This window comes from Homo sapiens, chromosome 10 (assembly GCF_000001405.40).
Source record: "Homo sapiens chromosome 10, GRCh38.p14 Primary Assembly".
In the NCBI taxonomy this organism is placed as follows: Eukaryota; Metazoa; Chordata; class Mammalia; order Primates; family Hominidae; genus Homo; species Homo sapiens.
The window spans coordinates 92689747-92707500 of record NC_000010.11 but is presented as its reverse complement, the minus strand read 5'-3'; the positions used below and the strand labels follow the sequence as shown (position 1 = coordinate 92707500).

The window sequence follows — 17754 nt, the reverse complement described above, 5'->3', positions numbered from 1 at the left end:
GCACCACTGCACTCCAGTCTGGGCAACAGACTGAACTGTCTCAAAAAATAATAAAAATAATAAAAAATAAAAGAATTCAAATAGAAAAAGAAATAAAAGGTTAGCATTTTTTTAAATTTATTTTTGAGACAGAATCTCGTTCTGTTGCCCAGGCTGGAGTGAAGTGGCGTGATCTTGGCTCACTGCAACCTCCACCTCCCGGGTTCAAGTGATTCTCCTCCCTCAGCCTCCGAAGTAGTTGGGACTACAGCCACGTGCCACCACACCTGGCTAATTTTTTGTATTTTTAGTAGAGATAGGGTTTCACTGTGTTAGCCAGGATGGTCTGGATCTCCTGACCTCGTGATCCTCCCGCCTCGGCCTCCCAAAGTGCTGGGATTTCAGGCGTGAGCCACAGCACCTGGCCAGCATATTTTTAAAATTCAACTTTGGGAATAATGAAAGGAATGAAATGTAAAATTAAAATACAGCATACTATTCTTCTCCTAAATAATTAAGAAAGATTAGAAAAACAGCACTTCCATTGGTGAAGATATGGAGAAATGATCCTTGTTCTCCACTGATATAAATTGACAAAACTTTCCCAGGAAGTATTTCACAATATTTATCAAATATTCATCCCTTTGGCTCAATGATTCATTTTCTATGAATATACTCTAGAAGGAATTAAACTGAAATGGAGGCAAAACATTCTCATTTTAGAAATTTTATAACAACAAAACAACATTAACCCAACAAGAGAATTAAGAAATTTTGCCATCTCTACCTAATAATACATTATGTGCCCAAAGGGTAGCTCATGCTTGTAATCCCAAGCATTTTGGGAGGCCAAGGCAGGAGGATTGCTTGAGGACGGGAGTTCGAGACCAGCCTGGACAACATAGAGATCTTACCTCTATAAATTTTTTTTTTTTAATTAGCCAAGTGTGGTAGCATGCACCTATAGTCCCAGCTACTTGTGGGCCTGAGGTGGAAGGATCCCTTGCACCCAAGAGTTGGAGGCTGCAGTGAGCTATGATTATGCCACTGTACTCCAGCCTGGGTGACAGAGCGAGACCTTGCCTCTAAAAATACATATACATATACTTTTATACATGTAAATATAGATATATATATAATGCAGACCTTGCCCAAGGTGGAGTTACCTGGAGAAAACCAGGGGAGATGGGCAGATTCACAGCCTCAATGCCACAGGAAGGAAATGTTGAGGGAGAGATGACAGTCCTGGGTGTGGGATGCCAGGTAATACCATCTGTTGGAGACATTTTATAGTTATTTAAACCACACTGTGTGGGAGGTGAAGTGGGCATTCACCCCAGGATGGAAATGAGGAGAGAAGAGGGCATTTGTGGGGACATGCTCTAAAAGGAGGTCCACTTAGTTTCTTATTTATGACTTTGGAATGCCCATGTGTTATTAAATATTTTGCTATGGGTTGTTTGGCAAAAGCTTTTGCAAGACAAACTCAAGAACTTAAACAGCATGGAATTATTATATAGCAAGCAAAATTATAATTATGCTTAGGGTGAAAATAGGTTCATCCTTGAATGTTGGAAATTAAAAGGATGTTTTCTCTGGTCTTCAAAGTCATCCTACTGAGCCTTATGCAAATTTATATCCCCAGTGCTTCCACGTGCCACATTGTAGGTGCTCAATAAATATTTTCTGAATGAATACTTGAATAATTTGATAGAAAACGTATAATCAACATTCGAGTTTACTTCAATACCCTATTATTTGTTTGAAAATATATGGACAGCTGGAAATATTAGAAATGCTTCCCTAAGAACACTTCCCTAGGGTGAGCTTTTATAGGCTTTGATAGAGACTGAGCCTTGATTTAACCTTAGAACTGAGCTTAAGTATAAGACAAGTCCTGCTCAGGGAGTGAACACCAGAAGACCGGTGAAATAAAAGATTCTTCATTCCTCTCAACACCTAAAACACATAGCCACTGAAGTTTAGGGGTGAATATGTTGCTTAGAAAGATATAGAACAGAAAAACATAGCGTCTTAGTGTTAAGTGCAACATTAAAAATGACCTAGGCTGGGCGCGGTGGCTCACGCCTGTAATCCCAGCACTTGGGAGGCCAAGGCAGGTGGATCATCTGAGGTCAGGAGTTTGAGACCAGCCTGGCCAACATGGTGAAACCTCATCTCTGCTAAAAAATACAAATATTAGCCAGGTGCGGTGGTGCGTGCCTGTAATCCCAGCTACTCCGGAGGCTGAGGCAGGAGAATCTCTTGAACCCGGGAGGTGGAGGTTGCAGTGAGCCGAGATCGCGCCACTACACTCCAGACTGGGTGACAGAGTGAGACTCCATCTCAAATAAAAAAAAATAAAAAAAAAAAAAAATCACCTGGTCCAAGAGCCTCATTTTATGATGAGGAAACAGAGAGGTAATTGATATCTCCAGAGTCACATTGCTACTTAACAGCAAATCTAGACATAAAATCCAGCACATCATCCCATAGCAGCTTTATAATTTTAAACATCAAAGTAACAGGAAAATGAAAGTGGAATAGAATGCAAACTAAATTCCTAAAACTACTGAAATAAAATACTGTAACTACAGGGAGACCTATGTCCAGAATTGAAGTTGTCTTTAGAAATTGTTTTTTTCTTTTTGGAGATGGATTCTTGCTTTGTTGCCCAGGCTGGAGTGCAGTGGCATGATCTCAGTTCACTGCAACCTCTGCCCTCCAGGTTCAAGCAATTCTCCTGCCTCAGCCTCCCGAGTAGCTGGGATTACAGGTACCTGCCACCATGCCTAGCTAATTTTTAGGGGTTTTGTTGTTGTTGTTATTGTTGTTGTTGTTTGGTAGTTTTAGTAGAGATGGGTGTCACCATGTTGGCCAGGCTGGTCTCGAACTCCTGACCTCAAGTGATCCAACTGCTTCAGCCTCCCAAAGTGCTGGGATCACAGGCATAAGCAACCGCACCCGGCCTCGGTGATTTTTTTCATTTAACCCACCTGAGTGGGAAAAATAAGTGAGATATTGGTTACTGATATTCCCAGCCCTTCTGATATGTGAAAGGTTGCAGTGATTTGTTTCTTGACAGCCTGATGCTCCTGCTCTTTCTGCTGTCTTTCTTTCTCTCCACCTAGGAGTCTTGGAGTCCAGTAAAATGTGAGCAGTGTCATTTTCAAATGTAAATTTTATGGCACAGTTTTTATATTTAGATGCATTATTTAAACTAACATGAAAATTCATACAATGGACCACTTTGCAGCACTGAGGATAAACAAACAACATCACACCATAACGTGGATGAATTTACCAGCAAAAAAAACTAAAGGAATGGGCAGCCGGGCACGGTGGCTTACTCCTGTAATCCCAGCACTTTGGGAGGCTGAGGCAGGTAGACCACTTGAGGTCAGGACTTCGAGACCAGCCTGCCCAACATGGTGAAACTCCATCTCTACTAAAAATACAAAAATTTGCCAGGTGTGGTGGCAGACGCCTGTAATCCCAGCTACTCGGGAGGCTGAGACAAGAGAACTGCTTGAACCTGGGAGGCGGAGGTTGCAGTGAGCCCAGATCACGCCACTGCACTCCAGCCTGGGTGACAGAGCAAGACTCCGTCTCCAAAAACAAAACAAAACAAAACAAAACCTGAAAACTAAAGGAATGGAGGAGGAATGGGAGATAAAAGAGAAAATACTGTGGGATTTTACTTTCATAAAGTTCAAAAATTGGCAAATGAATCTATGCCATTTGGAATCAGGTTAGTGGAGTCCCTTGGAGTGGGGTTGGGGATAGTGAACTAGAGGGGGCATAAAGAGAGCTCCTTGGGATCTGGTAATGTTCTATTTCAAGATATGGATTCCAGTTACATAGTGTAGTCATGTTGTAAGCTGTACGCCTATGATTTGTGAGCTTTTAAAATATATATATTATACTTTAATAAGTAGTTTCTTGAAAAAAATTGACAATCCATATCTCTTAACAAATTTTATTTGTAAAAAAAACTATCTTGTAAACATGATGCTTTAAAATACATTTGAAAAGTAAAACAAATATGAAATGTAAATATATACAAAATGTAAATATATTTTAGTGCCCCATGTTTATACAAGGTGGATAATACTGAATAATGGCTAAGATTCAGAATAATATATACTAGAAACTGCATGCATAAATTCCCTGGTCACCATTAACATTGTGTTTTTCTTAATGCCTGAAATAACATCTAAACAAGGGGCAGCTGCCTCAGGCAAATGGTACTTAGGTGATTTTAAAGACCTTAATGAGATCAGGTAATTGCTTGGTGAAGCTAAAAATTTTACCTTCAATTAACTGATCAACAGCACCATACATCATCATAACTTCTCACTCCCTTCCACCTCCGTACCATCAAGTCATTTCCTCTGGACGTCTGAACCTGCACTCAGGGTCCATTTTTTAAACATTTATTGAATTAGTCTGGTCTAATCTACAATTAATGGAAAGTCTGTAGTAATGCAGTTTCCATAAGCAGCTAAGGAAAGTTGAAACTTTGAAAGAGCATGTAAAGTAAACACTTTCTCTTCCTTCTACACTTCTTTGCAATTCATAAAATACTTTCAGAAATCATTTAAAAAATTTGGATTTCCTGCTTCCATTTTCTGAATAGATGATGCTGATAAAAATAGTAGTGATCACAGCCCATCCCAAATAGTGTCATTTTTTTTTTCAGTAAACTGGATATATTTTAAATAAAACTCTTGATTGAAATTGAGAAGTGTGAACTGGAAATTGAATGAAATTGCCAAGTCTGAAAGGGAAAAATGGCCAATAAAACCACAGAAGCACTTCCTCTTCAAATTTATGCTGGTAAAAAGATGGAAGAGAACATTTTCTTTTAGAGCTTTTTTAGGCTTAAACAGACCTAAATATGTCCTCGCCTCACCCGTGGCCCAAGTTGGCACCTGTCAAGTGTCTCTGTAGCACTTACAGCCCCTGCCCACTATGCTTTCTGCTGTGCTGCCAAAGCCATCCAGGCAAGCTATGTTTCTGGTGGCCAAGGAATAGGAAGTATAATGAGGGTGCGGGGCTTGGGGAGGGAGGGAAATGGCTCTCCTCTCCTTCAGGGAGGGCACATGGCTTTCACTTTCATTCTGTAGAACGATATTTATTAAAAGTTTACTGTAGGCCAAACATACTGCTGGATGCTGGGGACACAAATAGTAAGCTATCACACTGCTATGTTCAGAGTCCCTTGTGGAACATGCCTCAATGGGCCAGATGAGAAGCAAACTTTCATGTATATATATATATATATATATATATTTTTTTTTTTTTTTTTTTTTTTTTTCTTTTTTGAGATGGAGTCTCACTCTGTCACCAGGCTGGAGTGCAGTGGCGCCATCTCAGCTTACTGCAACCTCCGCCTCCCAGGTTCAAGCGATTCTCCTGCCTCAGCCTCCCGAGTAGCTGGGATTACAGGAGTACAACACCATGCTCGGCTAATTTTTGTATTTTTAGTGGAGATGAGATTTCACCATGTTGGCCAGGATGGTCTCGATCTCTTGATCTCATGATCTGCCTGCCTCGGCCTCCCAAAGTGCTGGGATTACAGACATGAGCCACCACACCTGGCCAACTTGTTTTTTTTAACGCTTTGAAAGATAGAAAGTGTATCTTATAATGCTCATTTCCCCAGAAAACTGAGAGGGAAATGGTACTTCACTCAGCTTATTAGTTTCCTAATGTAATAGAATAATATGTTACATACACAGAAATTGCTTATCCCTTATACTGTATCATAGTCCCTTCCAGATGTAATGCTAGATTTGAATCAAGGCAAAAGATTAGGTAAGATGAGCAAAAAACCTCAATTCTCTTCTTATAGCTAGAGTTAGACTTGATTTGATACCTTTTCAAGAATGCAACAGATTCAGTGAGGAAGTTCTCATTACAACATTGATCGGTATAGTAATTGAGGTTTTGGGCTTAATTTCTCGGTGACAGTTTCCTTATCTAGAAAATGGGGTTGATAACAGCCTCTACCTCATAGGGTCCTTGATGATTAAATGATATAAAGATATAAAGCAGGTGAAAGACTTACATAATATTTAGCAGCACATAGTACGTGCTCAGTAATTCACTAATTTAACATATGTTTAACAAGCACCTAATAGGTCAGGCTGAAGATACATAACAGTGAACATAACAGACAAAAATCCCTACCCTCATGATGTTCATATGTCAATAAGGAGAGACACATAATAAATAAGGCAGTAAAAATATTATATCCAATTGCATTAAGTGAAATAGAGAAAATTAAATTGTTGTTGGGGATAGGAAGAGGAGGTTGGCATTGTAAAAAGGTGGCAAGGGAAGGCCATGTCTGAAGGAGAGGAGGGAGCAAGCCATGAGGCTATATTTGGGGGAAAGAGAGTTCCAGAGAGAGGAAAGTGCCAATGCAAAAACAAAGAGACCTGTGTGGTGGGTAGAGAGAACACAGGTCCACAATCCCTCACTGAAAATTCTGAAATCCAAAATCTCTGGAGTCCAGTCATGCATACTCCCTGCCCTCTTTCACCTCCAGACCTGTGTACAGGATCATCCTTCTCCGTGGAACAGGCTTCCTTTTCCTTTTCTCTGGTTGGGAGTCCCTGGCAGACTCTGCCACAGCATCTGCTGTCCATCCCTTATTGCAGCATCTCTCTCTGTCAGCTCCATTACACTCCAGTGCTACTGAGCGCCTGGACCCTAGAGACACAGGGATTATTACTCTTCTATTTATGTTATTTTATTTTTTTATTTTTTATTTTTTATTTTTTTTGAGACGGAGTCCCACTTTGTCGCCCAGGCTGGAGTGCAGTGGCTCAAGTGATTCTCCTGCCTCAGCCTCCCGAGTAGCTGGGATTACAGGCGCCTGCCACCACACTCTGCCAGTTTTTGTATTTGTTTTAGCAGAGGCGGGGTTTCACCATTTTGGCCAGGCTGGTCTTGAACTCCTGACCTCAAACCATCTGCCTGCCTCGGCTTCCCAAAGTGCTGCGATTACAGGCATGAGCCACTGTACCTGGACTATGTTATTATTATTGCTTATCTTGGCTTAAAAAAAAAAAAAACTATCCCTGGCGGGATGGGAGCAACGCATTAGGACTCCAGCAACATTTCCCTCAAACAGGATTCTCACCTCAGCTAAAAGTTGAACATTTCTATAAATTTAAAGAAAATCTTGGCCCCAATAGTGACATCTAAAGAGTAGAGATTAGTCATTTTCTATTCTAAATGGGGAAGTAAACTGAATGAAGATGAGGAATCCTAAAAGGGAAAGGGGAAAAAAGAGAAAGGGAATGAATAAGGAAGGAAAAGTGGGGAGCAGAAGAAGGATGGAAGGGCATAAACCATGAAAGAAAAACATAAACAAGATTATGAGCATATCTTACTGCGAGCGTCTGCGAGCAGCAGGGGAGGGACCCTCTGCTGTTAACTGTTTCCCGTACTTGTTCATCTAAGAAGTTGTCTTCAGAGAGAATGAGATTTTTGAATACTTAAGGTTTTTCAAAGATACCAAATTCCCCCTCCAAAATAAAAGGGAGTCTAAGGAATGCTTAGAAAATACGTTTTAAACAAACGTTTTTTAAGTGGGAAGCGGCCTCATTGGCTTTCATGTGGAAAGTCGCCTGATATTGGCAGTGACTTTTTTTTTTTTTTTTTTTTAAAGCAGCGACGCAGGAAAGTGTTCGGCCGCTCGCGGCGACGGCCGGATGCTCCAAAGTCAAGATCCTCCGCAGACAGGAAATGTCTCTGCCAGCTCCAAGGTCCCCTCGCAGCAGCCCTCTGTGTTATCCAGAGAGATTTGTGTACATCCGACTGAAGAGGTTTCCCGCCTGCAACTGCGAACCCAAGAGCTGTCTCAAAAGAAGGGAATCACTCGGGGTGTCTAGCTTTTCTGACTGACACTCGGGGCCCACGGCGTGCCAGGGACGCCGCCTCCTCTCGGGGGAGCCACGCTCCGCTCTAGGAACTGAGGGACCGGAGGCTGAGGATGCGGGTGTCCCCCGGGGCCCCAGCCAGCAAGAGAGGGGTAGAGAGTTCCATCTCCCCTGCTGCTAGCCATGCTTGTATCCACAACGGGGTGATTCTGGTTTTCCTACAGCCACATGTGAAGGGGTAGCTGCTCCTCTGTAGACCTGGGGTCTCAGATCTTTGGGTGAGTGGGAGGAGTCTCCAAAGTGCTTCTTATTTGGAGTTATCAACAATACCAAAAAATACATATCAAGGGACAAAATTAGATTAGACATATACAGAGCCCAACTGGGACTTCCTAAAACCTCTATGGACTGAAAAATAAATGTCAGTACAACCTGATTACTTTGACCACAAAATACTGAACTCCTAATCATTTATTTTTTCTTTTTCTTTTTCTCTTTTTTTTTTTTTTTTTTTTTTTTGAGATGGAGCCTCGCTCTGTCGCCCAGCTGGAGTGCAGTGGTGCAATCTTGGCTCACTGCAAGCTCTGCCTCCCAGGTTCACACCATTCTGCCTCAGCCTCCCGAGTAGCTGGGACTACAGGCGCCCGCCACCATGCCCAGCTAATTTTTTGTATTTTTAGTAGAGACGGGGTTTCACCTTGTTAGCCAGGGTGGTCTTGATCTTCTGACCTCGTGATCCGCCCGGCTCGGCCTCCCAAAGTGCTGGGATTACAGGCATGAGCCACCACGCCCAGCCTTTTTTTCTTTTTTTGAGACACAGTCTCACGCTGTCGCCCAGGCTGGAGTGCAGTGCCATGATCTCCGCTCACTGCAACCTCCGCCTCCTGGGTTCAAGCGATTCTCCTGCCTCAGCCTACTGAGTAGCTGGGATTACGGGTACGTGCCACCACGCCCAGCTAATTTTGTAGTTTTAGTAGAGACAGGGTTTCACCATGTTGGCCAGGCTTGTCCCAAACTCCTGACCTCAGGTGATCTGCCCACCTTGGTCTCCCAAAGTGCCTGGCTTGAACTCCCAATCATTTAGAAGCATCCTGGGTGATTGTTTGGTATTCACATTCTGCCCCATATTGTAAGTAGTCACATAAGTATCTCCAATCACAGATTTAAAGGATCATTGATTATTAGATCTTGAAAAAAAATCAAAATCAGGAGCTTTTGGGTTCATCAGCTTCCACATGCCAATATATCTGGAGTGGGAATTTTAGTAAGTCTCTTCTGTCCCCAGCAAAATGCGTTTTCCCCAAGTCCAAATAAGTTTTCTTGAATCCCTGTCCTGCCCCCATTAACTAAGATGAATATTCACAGTAATGAAAACCACACACACACACAAAAGCTTGTCAGAAAAGTTGAAAGAGAAAAGGTACTTTCACTATCAGAGATGGTTTCCTCTTTTCCCACAAGATGTCTTATCAGCTTTCACCCTGAGAAAACCATAAAAAGTAAGAAAAAGAAATGTTATGCAATAGTTCTCTAAATAAAATACTACACAGTAGGCTAGTCATCTCTAAAAGTGATGTTGTTTAAAGAGTCAAAGTACATCATCCAACAAAATCAATATCATATTAAGTTAGAAAGGGTTCTGAATATCAAAGACCAATGAACTGAATAACTTAAAGTATAAGTACACGACCCAGGGGATTAATCACACACTGTCATGGTGAAATTAGGGCAATTCTTCAAATCATTAACGTTTTGCTTACAAAAATGTGCTTTTCTGTTTGTCTTTCTGCTAAATGATAACCGTTTTCAAGTTGAATCTCCTGATAAAAAGAGTTAAAAACAAGACAGGAGTTGTGCTGTAAAGGTCATACGTGCTGCTTCAACATGAAATAGCCAAAAGACAAACAAATGAAAAATGCCCGGATCGTAGGAGGAATTTCTAAATCTTCATTGGCAATTTGCAATGGGGTACTTCAGAAAAGTGAATGCCTACCTGTGTCCTGAGAATACTGCACCTCCTCCAGTTAACATGCTCTTGATTCTTAAGGACATGTTTAGATTCAGAATGGGAGCAACTTGGTGAGAGTTAGGATAAGCTTGAAATTGGAAAGCAGCCTGGTTTCAGGGAATTGTCAACTTTAAAACTAGATTTTACCCCTCAAGTTTTCTAGTGTGAATCAATACATTAGTCTGTATTTCTCTGCTGAATAGTCATGATACAGTTACTCTCAAGAATAAACATTAACTAGGGTTTATCTCCAGAAGCGAAACACACACACAGGTTTCAGGATTACTTTAATTCAATATTACATCCATAAGCCTCCCATTCTCCAAAAATCTGATATGGACAGTCCCATTTTCAGACGAGATGGATTATGACCTTTGAAACCTTGATGTAATCTTTTAGGCAGGGTCTGGAGCCTACAGCTGATGGGAAGGGAAACTCTCCCACTGGGTGGCCACTTTGGGTGCCAAGGCTGAGGAGACATGGGGAGTAGGGAGAACAATAAGGACGGCATGAACTGAGTTGGGAATTTGAGAGCTGGAAGGGGTTCATATGGTTCAACTAGACCATCTTCGTTCTACAAATGATTTGAGGCCAAGAACTAAAACACCAACCCAAATCTTCAAACTTCCAAGTCTATCCACACCTCTCTGCTTAAGGACTAGTACTGCTTTTCTCAGAAATCTTAATTCCCCTGCAATTCCAGGGGCCTTCTTAGAATCTAAGGAAGCCGGATGTGACAACTCCCTAACAGCAATGACTTTTTCACTGTCTTCATCTGAGTGTCCATATCTGGGGGCGCCACAGCCCTAGAAGCCAGGCCAGGGGTCGGGTCATTCCTTCACAGGTCCTTAGCCAGAAGTACCCAACTCTACAACTAGAGGCCTCCTCCATGGAGGCCAAGGCTAGAGAGAGATTTCCAGGCCTCTCCCCAACAGATCTCTGTCATGGTTTTCCTGGAATGTCAGAGACCTGATGGCTCAGCTAGGCAAGCAGCTGGCACAGACTAGCAATACCCTGAACAATCAGAAACCTGGGCCCCCACACCCACCTAACCTCAGCACCCCATTCTCCCTCCATTTCATGGTGCCCCTTCCTCCACCCTGCGCCCTCTGCTCAGCCATCAAACCTCACTCCCACTAGCCTGGATAAGCCCCTCGTTCCTCTGTTCCCCCTCGCCTTTCCCTCCTCTCAGCCCTCCGCCCCAGCCTCTTGCTGGCCAAAGTTACCCGGGAAAGCAGGTGGGAGGAGGAGTGCCGGTCCCACCTGCTTCTTCCGCACCCCGTGCGCTCACATCAGTGGTTCCCCAGGGGTGGTGTCCGGGCCCGCAGCTTTGGCGTCACCTCAGCTCTTGTTGGAAATACAAATTCCCGGTCCCAGCCCAGTCCAGTCCTAACAGATCAGAACTCCAGGAACAGGGCTGGGTTTCCACAAGCCCTGAAGGAGGTTCTGAAGTTCCCCGGGTTCGAGAACAGTTCTCAGCGCAAACCACCTCCCCGCTCCCCTCGGCCAGGGCCCCCCATCCCCCCACTCGGACTTCCCCACCCCGGGCCCCGCCGCGCGGAGCGGGTTCCCGAGCCCCGGCCGCCGAGGGATGACGCGGTGTTGACTCAGCCGGTCAAGGACGGCGAGGGCCAGCCCGGCTGCCGAGGAGAATCGATGGGGTCCGGACGGCCCCGCGCTTCACGGCGCAGCGGGCCTGGGCCTCGGCTCTTCCCGTCGCCTGGCGTGCCCGGGACTCGAACCCATCAGGCTCAGAATCCGCCGGCAGGAGCAGAGCCCCAAGGCAAACGGCCCGGGAGAGGCCCCAACCCACGTTCCAGGCACCCACCCGCGGTCCTGGGACTCGGAACGAGAGCCCCAGCAAGATCCAGCCCCAGTCACTTCCTGTCCCCAGAGCCCAGCACCGCGCCAAGCACCCAGGAGGTCAAGAAAAGGTGTGCAGACTTTTTAAAATCAAAGAATTAGACTTGCAACGAGGTCAGTCGTCCCACGGACGGCTTTATTTTATAGTCAAGTTACTTATTAAAAAAAAAACACATTTTGGCCATTTTTTTTACAGTGAACAATTCTATATACACATTATAAACATTGTTTGATATAAAACAGTATCTACAATCTACTTACATTTAATTAACCTGTGACTTCTAGTTCATCTGCGATTAACTTTAGTCAGGTCAGTTTCTCTGCTTGAATTGGGAGGTACTATCCCCTTAACACCTTGGTCAAACAGGTACTAAGTGATAGTGCAAAACAAGCATTTAAGATTCTCATCAACCATATCTCTGACAAAAAGAACACACATCTCTGAGACAAGAGCTCTGAAATGTTTTTGGATTTGAGACAGCAGTATAAGAATGTCATATAAAAGTAAAGAATGTTTTCCTTTTAAAATACTCCAAGGCTGCCTGAAATGTAGGCACCTCTGGATTTGGGGTACCCCTTTGCCTTTCCATTAAGTGGGAGATAAACAGATTACAGAAAAGTCGTTCAAGAAGGTCCTATTAAAACCTTTAAAGCTATAACTTAAAAATTTAACAAAAAGTTCAAAATTAATTTTTTATAAATAGTGAAAACCACTAACTGTTTTTTTAAAGGGGGAAGAATTTAATCACTATAATGTCACTTTATCAAAACAACCTAAGAGCAGTACATAAACTATTTGTTAAGTCAAAATTAAGGTCTCCATGTAGGTTTGTTAATTGAGCAGTGCACCAAATATTTTTAGGTTTCCAGAATACCAGAGAATTGATTCCCTTTCTTATATAGCCTTCCAGTTCTTCTATGAAGATTTTCTGTAGCAAAACATTATTCCTAAATCCAGTTTTCTGAACATGCCAATGCCAGTGGTCATCATCCAGCATTAAAATAGCTTTTATCGCCCTCAATGTCCACTTCCTGATCAGAATCCTCTGAAATCTCTGATTCAAGGTCTTCCTGGGAGGCAGGGGAGGGCGAACATTGAGAGCTATCCAAAGAAGCACCTTTATTCTGTTCACTGGGCAAATCTTGCCTCTGATCACAGGAACTGTCCAAACTTTCCAGTTCTTCTTTTTTATTGCTTTGAGGGTTCTCCTGAATAAAGGAAATGAAAATGGAGATTGGAAGGATCATAAAATATGGATAGGTGAGAGGAATAAATCAAAATGTCTCTTCATCCTATTCCATCTTTTAATTTTTAGTTTACTGAGTGTTTTCAGTTTATAATCTTATTCAGGAGATACATACTTGTGCTTTTTGCTCACTTTGGAAGAAAAGTTTCTGTCATATCAAAGATTATATGCTTAAAAGATGAGAACCAGTCATGAACATAAGGGCAGATACATTATACCAATTGAACACAAATTCTGGTTACTTAACACCAGCCCAGACCCATGGTTTCAATATTCTCAAAAGTTTAAGGGGGAAAGAAAATCAGATCACTACAGATACACCTTAACTTCATTCTTTAAATATTTAAACCTTGCCAATTAACAGTCTTTCAGACATTTTAAAAATAAGAATGCTAACTGGTGAATTAAGAATAAAGTTTCAATTATTAGACTGGATCTTTTTTCATTCATTTTCTGGAGTAAATTTATAAACATCTACATGTGTAAATGTTTAACAAGTTACAAAATCATGGCAAAGAAAAAAAATGTGGATCTGGAAGAATGCTGCCAACTGAGAAGGTAGACAATTAGCTACAATTTACTTAAAATCTGGGGCAAATTTCTGGGAAATATCCCCATATTACATAGAAACCACTATTTTTAAGGTCTCTGGTAAACTAGAGTCAAGCCTTTGACCAAGAACTATTAAGTATATAAGCTAGTGAATTTTTAATCCTATACTTGTCTAAAATGCATATAAATACTACATAGAAATATTACAACATCTATTTGTTATATAGTTGCAAGCCTTATAGTCTCAACAAATAGATGCACACGGTCAGAAATTGAGAGTGGATCTGCAAATATTTAAATCACATTACAGTAATGAAGTTATGGGAATTTTATTTTCTATTTCAAAATATTCTTTGGGACACTTTCTTTTTAATGAAAAAGTAATGATCAATAAATTTTAAAATCCACTTTGCTTTAAATTTCTCCACTCATTGTTTCAAAGTATTTATTATAAACCGTATATACAATGACAAGTGAACAATTCAGCAATTATCAGATAACTTTGGAGAGTATATCCAGATTAGGACATCAAAAATGAATGTTTAGCTTTAAGTCAATAGACCTTCTTTTAAAAACTAAATTAGCCTTTACTTTTTATCACATATTGCGAAACAAGGTCACTGGAAGAAAGACTGTCAGAAAGTTTAAGCTACTTTCCAAACAGGCTTGAATATTTTCTTACAAGTTTTATATTTCATTTTAAGAGCTGGCATTAGATAGAAAATAATTTTTAAACTCCCTGACATTTAATTCTTCTAAAAAACAGTGCAAACAAGACTTAAAGGTGTTTGTTTCTTTATATTTACCCTTGAGTTCTGCCTGGTTTTATTATGGCTGTGTAAATAAAAGAAACAATTTTCTCCCAAAGATAACTGCTTAAGTCATTTACTGTCAATTACTTTATCTTTCCTGCGTTAATTAGATAAACAACATATGGGATTTATAAAACAATTAGCTGGGAGTTTTACTAGCCAGTGTGTGAAAACCCAAGCATAATTGATATAGGAACCCCATTAGGTGCTTTTAGCATTACTGCCACCTGAGCAACTCATCCTGAATTTCAGCAGGACTATTTGTCTTTTTAATCAAGGTGAAGAGGTTAAATAGTCTCTTAAATGACTTTTGCATACAACCCATAACAGCCTTGCACTGAGATAACGTGATAAAAATATTTATTTCCATAGAAACAGAACCATGTCCATACCTGTTTTAGTCTCCTCCATTTAGCGCGTCGATTCTGAAACCAGGTTTTGACCTACAGGAAAGAGAGAAAGAAAACTTGCAACGAGCCCGCGTCGGGACGTGCCAGAGGGCAGGGTGGCTCCTCGCCTCTCTCTCGGTGGCCCGGCGACCCCTACCCCAGAAGCCTTCCCTTCCCCGGAGGCGGCCCCAGGCCCCCCGCGAGCTCACCTGTCTCTCGCTGAGCTGCAGCATCTTGGCCAGACGCTTCCTCTCGGGCGGAGAGAGATATTTCTGCGTCTCGAATTTCTTCTCCAGCTCGATGGTCTGGTCGTTGGAGAATCTCACCTGGCCGCCTTTCCTTTTATGCAGAGGCCTCTGCAAGAAGGGGCTCCAGAGTAGAGGTTTGCCTGCGAGCGGGAAGAGCGGCGCTCACCCACTGCCCTGGAGCGGCCTGGCCAGACCCCAGAGCTGTCGGGCCCCAGGGATGACAAAGGTAGGCCAGGAGGCCACCCAACCAGACACATTCACATACACCCACCGGCACGTGGACCTAACACGTTCCCACCGACACACAAACATACCCAAAGTCACACACTGACACCGCAGATGCACACAGCCTTGTACACACACAGACAGACACACAGCCGTCACACCTAGAACTAAATCCAGACATACCTTTAACCCCAAAAAGAATGGGCACTACCGGCTGGGCTTACAATACCACGACCCTCTTTCCCCAGTGGCTCTCGGATTTATACATAACTTTTTGCCCCCTTGGATCTCCCTTGGTGAGCCGCACTTGCGAACACCGGGTGTGTGCGTGTTGGGGAGGAGCGGGGCTGCTGCACCGACAAGGCCTGGCTGCGCGGGAAGCGCTCGGGCCCGGACACCCGCATTAGGTTGCGCGAGGAGCCTCCAATCCTGGCCGGGGGAGCCGCGGCCTCCTCTGATTTCACACCCAGCCCGCGGGGGCGGCCAGTTAAAGCCACCCCATGGGCTATGGCAACATTTCCGTCAATGTGTTTCCTGTTGGTCTAGCTCGAAAAACTCTTTGCTTCCTCCTGCGCGGTCCCAGCAGTAACCCAAGGAAACTCAGGGCGCACTGTGAAAACGTTAGCCCCCAGGCCCGGCCCGGCTGAGGGTCCCGCTCCAGCCCCGACAGGCGACCACAGCCAGGCTCGGGCCGCATCATCAAACCCTCGAGGCTGGAATCAGACAGACAGGATAACAACTCAAAAACATAAAAAGATGAACTAAAAATACAATCCCCCTCCCCTGTTAACGGTGAGAAGGTAAGGTAAAGGGCTGAGCTAGAGCCCGCGCCGTAATAATGGAGACATTAAAATGCTAATTAAGACGTTAATTGTTTTCAGGGTCCCTACTGAAGCTTCCAATAACAGAGTTCATTTAAAACTCTAGAGGCGCCCCGTTTCCTTATTTACCCTAGGGCTCCAGACCTCGAAGGCGCCAAGGGTCACCCACAGCGCGGACCACGGGCGGCTTATTTGTTAGGCCGCACATTGAGGGGACAAGCCCCGAAGTTCTGGAATATATGCCCTATGTGTCCCTGCTTCCCTTCCTAACTGGCGACCAGGAGCTGCTGCTTCCTACTCCCAAAGTAGTGTCGGTCGGTCCGTCCGTCCGTCTGCAGGCCTGCACCTCAACGCTTTGAAAGCTAGCATTGTTTTTTCGAGATTTTGCTTGCGTCAGGCTTCAGACTGGTGCAAAACAGCCTCGAAAAAAAATAGGAAGCAACTGGTTATTTTAGCTGCCATAAAGTCACATCCCACACAGAGGAAATGAACAATATCAGAAAAACGGATCCCGGCTATCAGAAGTCGAGTGTTTCCTGAATTTGTCTGTATTGAGGATGTCGATAAAATAATCAGCAGCGTGCACTACTCCGGGGGAAGGGTCTGCTTCATGCAGCCAGGAAAACACTTAACAGCTTCTGAAACCAGATTTACTCCTATCGAGAACTCAAGATTTCCTGTATGAACGGAAAGGGTCAGGCTCTTTCACTGCACAAGCCTGTTGAACCAGGTCCAGCCCCGTAGCCACCCGGGCCCGGCTGCGATCCCTGCCCCACGGGGGCCGGCCAGGGGCGCCTCGACGCCCCTTTCCCCGTCCCTCCCGCTAAGGGAGCCCCACCCCGGGTAACACGCGCGGTCCACGGCTGCCCTCGCCGCGAGGTCTACCGCCGGCCCGCGCGCCCCGACGCCTGCAAGGTGCAGGAAAACCAATCTGAGTCACGGTGCGGTCAGCCCCGGCCGCGCGCCTCCCGTCCCCGCGCGTGCCCGACAGCTGCTTTTCCATCGCTTTTGCCACAGCCGTCTACCGCCTGCCCCCTTCGCCCCCTCGGCCTCCCGGGCGCTGCCACCTGCCGGGTGGCGCTTCCTCGCCCCCACCCTCGCCCGGCCGCCTTACCCAGGGGGTCGTGGCGGAGCAGGGCGTGCGTGTAGTCGTTCACCGTCCGCGGGAAGGGGTACAGAGGGCCCCCGAAGCCGCCGGGTCCGTAGGCAGCGGCCAGCGCGGCGGCGGAGTGGTGCGAGAAGGCTGGATGGATCGGCGTGGGCTCGTACACCGGGGTCCGGTAGGGGGACACGAGGCTGGTGAAGGAGGAGTTGGGGGACGGCAGCGTGGGGGCGGGCGTGGGCGCGGCGGGCCCGCGGCCCAGGATGTCCTCGATGTAAAAGGGCGTCGGGTGTGCGGGTTGCAGCAGCGGCGTGGGCGCGTACAGCGGCACCCCCACGGCGCCCGCCGCCGGCCCGGGGTGCGGGTACTGCATGGCTCCGCCGCGCTCCGGCCCCTCGCAGAGCTGCTGGCCCGCGCCGCGGCGCTACATTTATCCGCGCTCCGCGCTCCCGGCGATAGGCTCCGCCGGCCGCGGGGTGGGGCCGCGCTCGCTGGCCCCTTCCTGCCGCCGGGCCCTGCGGCCAATGGCGCGGGGCCCCAAGAGCAGCCGCCCGCCCCCACCCCGGCCCGCCCCGCCGGCCAAGCTCCCCGCCCCCGGGACGCGCTTGCTACC

At 45.1% G+C, this 17754-nt stretch overlaps 1 protein-coding gene across 1 annotated transcript, besides 5 other annotated features; it reads right to left on the bottom strand.

Annotated features, from left to right (window-relative positions):
• Window positions 1–11853: 11853 nt before the first annotated feature.
• On the bottom strand, window positions 11854–17546 carry HHEX (hematopoietically expressed homeobox). The gene is made up of 4 exons (NM_002729.5): window positions 17154–17546; window positions 14955–15133; window positions 14749–14799; window positions 11854–12954 (listed from the first exon to the last, which is right to left on the bottom strand). The coding sequence occupies exons 1-4, from the start codon at window positions 17512–17514 to the stop codon at window positions 12733–12735; spliced, it is 813 nt and encodes a 270-aa protein (NP_002720.1). The 5' UTR covers window positions 17515–17546; the 3' UTR covers window positions 11854–12732.
• Window positions 15109–15110: a mitotic recombination region, noted in NCBI's record as "NUP98-HHEX recombination region recombines with sequences within the NUP98 intron 13 (HHEX) recombination sub-region within the nucleoporin 98kDa recombination region". NCBI's record gives the evidence for it as "EXISTENCE:nucleotide sequencing assay evidence [ECO:0000219][PMID:18388181]".
• Window positions 15428–16235: an enhancer, noted in NCBI's record as "H3K4me1 hESC enhancer chr10:94451023-94451830 (GRCh37/hg19 assembly coordinates)". NCBI's record gives its function as "activates a minimal SCP1, AML or CMV promoter by ChIP-STARR-seq in primed H9 embryonic stem cells {active_cell/tissue: H9 hESC(primed)}" and the evidence as "EXISTENCE:reporter gene assay evidence [ECO:0000049][PMID:30033119]".
• Window positions 16766–16915: a silencer, noted in NCBI's record as "silent region_2623". NCBI's record gives its function as "represses an Ori minimal core promoter by ATAC-STARR-seq in GM12878 lymphoblastoid cells {active_cell/tissue: GM12878}" and the evidence as "EXISTENCE:reporter gene assay evidence [ECO:0000049][PMID:35858748]".
• Window positions 16926–17005: a silencer, noted in NCBI's record as "silent region_2622". NCBI's record gives its function as "represses an Ori minimal core promoter by ATAC-STARR-seq in GM12878 lymphoblastoid cells {active_cell/tissue: GM12878}" and the evidence as "EXISTENCE:reporter gene assay evidence [ECO:0000049][PMID:35858748]".
• Window positions 17426–17745: a silencer, noted in NCBI's record as "silent region_2621". NCBI's record gives its function as "represses an Ori minimal core promoter by ATAC-STARR-seq in GM12878 lymphoblastoid cells {active_cell/tissue: GM12878}" and the evidence as "EXISTENCE:reporter gene assay evidence [ECO:0000049][PMID:35858748]".

Coding starts and splice junctions, on each gene's coding strand:
- HHEX (NM_002729.5), bottom strand. CDS start 17,514: ATGCAGTACCCGCACCCCGGGCCGGCGGCGGGCGCCGTGGGGGTGCCG. Junction 14,800..14,954: donor TGCAGCTCAGCGAGAGACAG/GTGAGCTCGCGG, acceptor TCTTTCCTGTAG/GTCAAAACCTGGTTTCAGAA. Junction 12,955..14,748: donor AATGGAGGAGACTAAAACAG/GTATGGACATGG, acceptor TCCTTTATTCAG/GAGAACCCTCAAAGCAATAA.